Below are 3032 nucleotides of genomic sequence, written 5' to 3' on the forward strand. Positions count from 1 at the left end.
TCTTAGAAATATAACTATTAGGTTTTCTCAGGCAAGATGCCTGAATAGGAACAGCTCCGGTCTACAGCTCCCAGCGTGAGCGATGCAGAAGACGGATGATTTCTGCATTTCCATCTGAGGTACCAGGTTCATCTCACTAGGGAGTGCCAGACAGTGGGCGCAGGACAGTGGGTGCAGCACACCATGCGCGAGCCAAAGCAGGGCGAGGCATTGCCTCACTCGGGAAGCGCAAGGGGTCAGGGAGTTCCCTTTCCTAGTCAAAGAAAGGGGTGACAGACGGCACCTGGAAAATCGGGTCACTCCCACCCCAATACTGCACTTTTCTGACGGGCTTAAAAAATGGTGCACCAGGAGATTATATCCCACACCTGGTTTGGAGGGTCCTATGCCCACGGAGTCTCGCTGATTGCTAGCACAGCAGTTTGGAATCAAACTGCAAGGCAGCAGCGAGGCTGGGGGAGGGGCGCCCTCCATTGCCCAGGTTTGCTTAGGTAAACAAAGCAGCCGGAAAGCTGGAACTGGGTGGAGCCCACCACAGCTCAAGGAGGCCTGCCTGCCTCTGTAGGCTCCAACTCTGGGGACAGGGCACAGACAAACAAAAAGACAGCAGTAACCTCTGCAGACTTAAATGTCCCTGTCTGACAGCTTTGAAGAGAGCAGTGGTTCTCCCAGCACGCAGCTGGAGATCTGAGAACGGGCAGACTGCCTCCTCAAGTGGGTCCCTCATCCCTGACCCCCGAGCAGCCTAACTGGGAGGCACCCCTCAGTAGGGGCAGACTGACACCTCACACAGCCGGGTACTCCTCTGAGAGAAAACTTCCAGAGGAACGATCAGACAGCAGCATTTGTGATTCACGAAAATCTGCTGCTCTGCAGCCACCGCTGCTGGTACCCAGGCAAACAGGGTCTGGAGTGGACCTCTAGCAAACTCCAACAGACCTGCAGCTGAGGGTCCTGTCTGTTATAAGGAAAACTAACAAACAGAAAGGACATCCACACCAAAAGCCCATCTGTACATCACCATCATCAAAGACAAAAAGTAGATAAAACCACAAAGATGGGGGAGAAACAGAGCAGAAAAACTGGAAACTCTAAAAAGCAGAGCGCCTCTCCTTCTCCAAAGGAATGCAGCTCCTCACCAGCAATGGAACAAAGCTGGACAGAGAATGACTTTGACGAGTTGAGAGAAGAAGGCTTCAGACGATCAAACTACTCTGAGCCACAGGAGGAAATTCAAACCAAAGGCAAAGAAGTTGAAAACTTTGAAAAAAATTTAGACGAATATATAACTAGAATAACCAATACAGAGAAGTGCTTAAAGGAGCTGATGGAGCTGAAAGCCAAGGCTCGAGAACTATGTGAATAATGCAGAAGCCTCAGGAGCCGATGCGATCAACTGGAAGAAAGGGTATCAGTGATGGAAGATGAAATGAATGAAATGAAGCGAGAAGGGAAGTTTAGAGAAAAAAGAATAAAAAGAAATGAACAAAGCCTCCAAGAAATATGGGACTATGTGAAAAGACCAAATCTACGTCTGATTGGTGTACCTGAAAGTGATGGGGAGAATGGAACCAAGTTGGAAAACACTCTGCAGGATATTATCCAGGAGAACTTCCCCAATCTAGCAAGGCAGGCCAACATTCAGATTCAGGAAATACAGAGAATGCCACAAAGATACTCCTCGAGAAGAGCAACTCCAAGACACATAATTGTCAGATTCACCAAAGTTGAAATGAAGGAAAAAATGTTAAGAGCAGCCGGAGAGAAAGGTCCGGTTATCCACAAAGGGAAGCCCATCAGACTAACAGCGGATCTCTCGGCAGAAACCCTACAAGCCAGAAGAGAGTGGGGGCCAATATTCAACATTCTTAAAGAAAAGAATTTTCAACCCAGAATTTCATTTCCAGCCAAACTAAGCTTCATAAATGAAGGAGTAATAAAATACTTTACAGACTTTACAGACTTTACAGACAAGCAAATGCTGAGAGATTTTGTCACCACCAGGCCTGCCCTAAAAGAGCTCCTGAAGGAAGCACTAAACATGGAAAGGAACAACCGATACCAGCCACTGCAAAATCATGCCAAATTGTAAAGACCATCGAGGCTAGGAAGAAACTGCATCGACTAACGAGCAAAATAACCAGCTAACATCATAATAACAGGATCAAATTCACACATAACAATATTAACTTTAAATGTAAATGGGATAAATGCTCCAATGAAAAGACACAGACTGGCAAATTGGATAAAGAGTCAAGACCCATCAGTGTGCTGTATTCAGGAAACCCATCTCACGTGCAGAGACACATATAGGCTCAAAATAAAAGGATGGAGGAAGACCTACGAAGCAAACGGAAAACAAAAAAAGGCAGGGGTTGCAATCTTAGTCTCTGATAAAACAGACTTTAAACCAACAAAGATCAAAAGAGACAAAGAAGGCCATTACATAATGGTAAAGGGATCAATTCAACAAGAAGAGCTAACTATCCTAAATATATATGCACCCAATACAGGAGCACCAAGATTCATAAAGCAAGTCCTGAGTGACCTATAAAGAGACTTAGACTCCCACACAATAATAATGGGAGACTTTAACACCCCACTGTCAACATTAGACAGATCAACGAGAGAGAAAGTTAACAAGGATACCCAGAAATTGAACTCAGTTCTGCACCTAGTGGACCTAATAGACATCTACAGAACTCTCCACCCCAAATCAACAGAGTATACATTTTTTTCAGCACCACACCACACCTATTCCAAAACTGACCACATAGTTGGAAGTAAAGCTCTCCTCAGCAAATGTAAAAGATCAGAAATTATAACAAACTGTTTCTCAGACCACAGTGCAATCAAACTAGAACTCAGGATTAAGAAACTCACTCAAAAACATTCAACTACATGGAAACTGAACAACCTGCTCCTGAATGACTACTGGGTACATAACGAAATGAAGGCAGAAATAAAGATGTTCTTTAAAACCAACAAGAACAAAGACACAACATACCAGAATCTCTGGGACACATTCAAAG

Source organism: Homo sapiens, chromosome 6 (assembly GCF_000001405.40).
Source record: "Homo sapiens chromosome 6, GRCh38.p14 Primary Assembly".
NCBI classification, from domain to species: domain Eukaryota; kingdom Metazoa; phylum Chordata; class Mammalia; order Primates; family Hominidae; genus Homo; species Homo sapiens.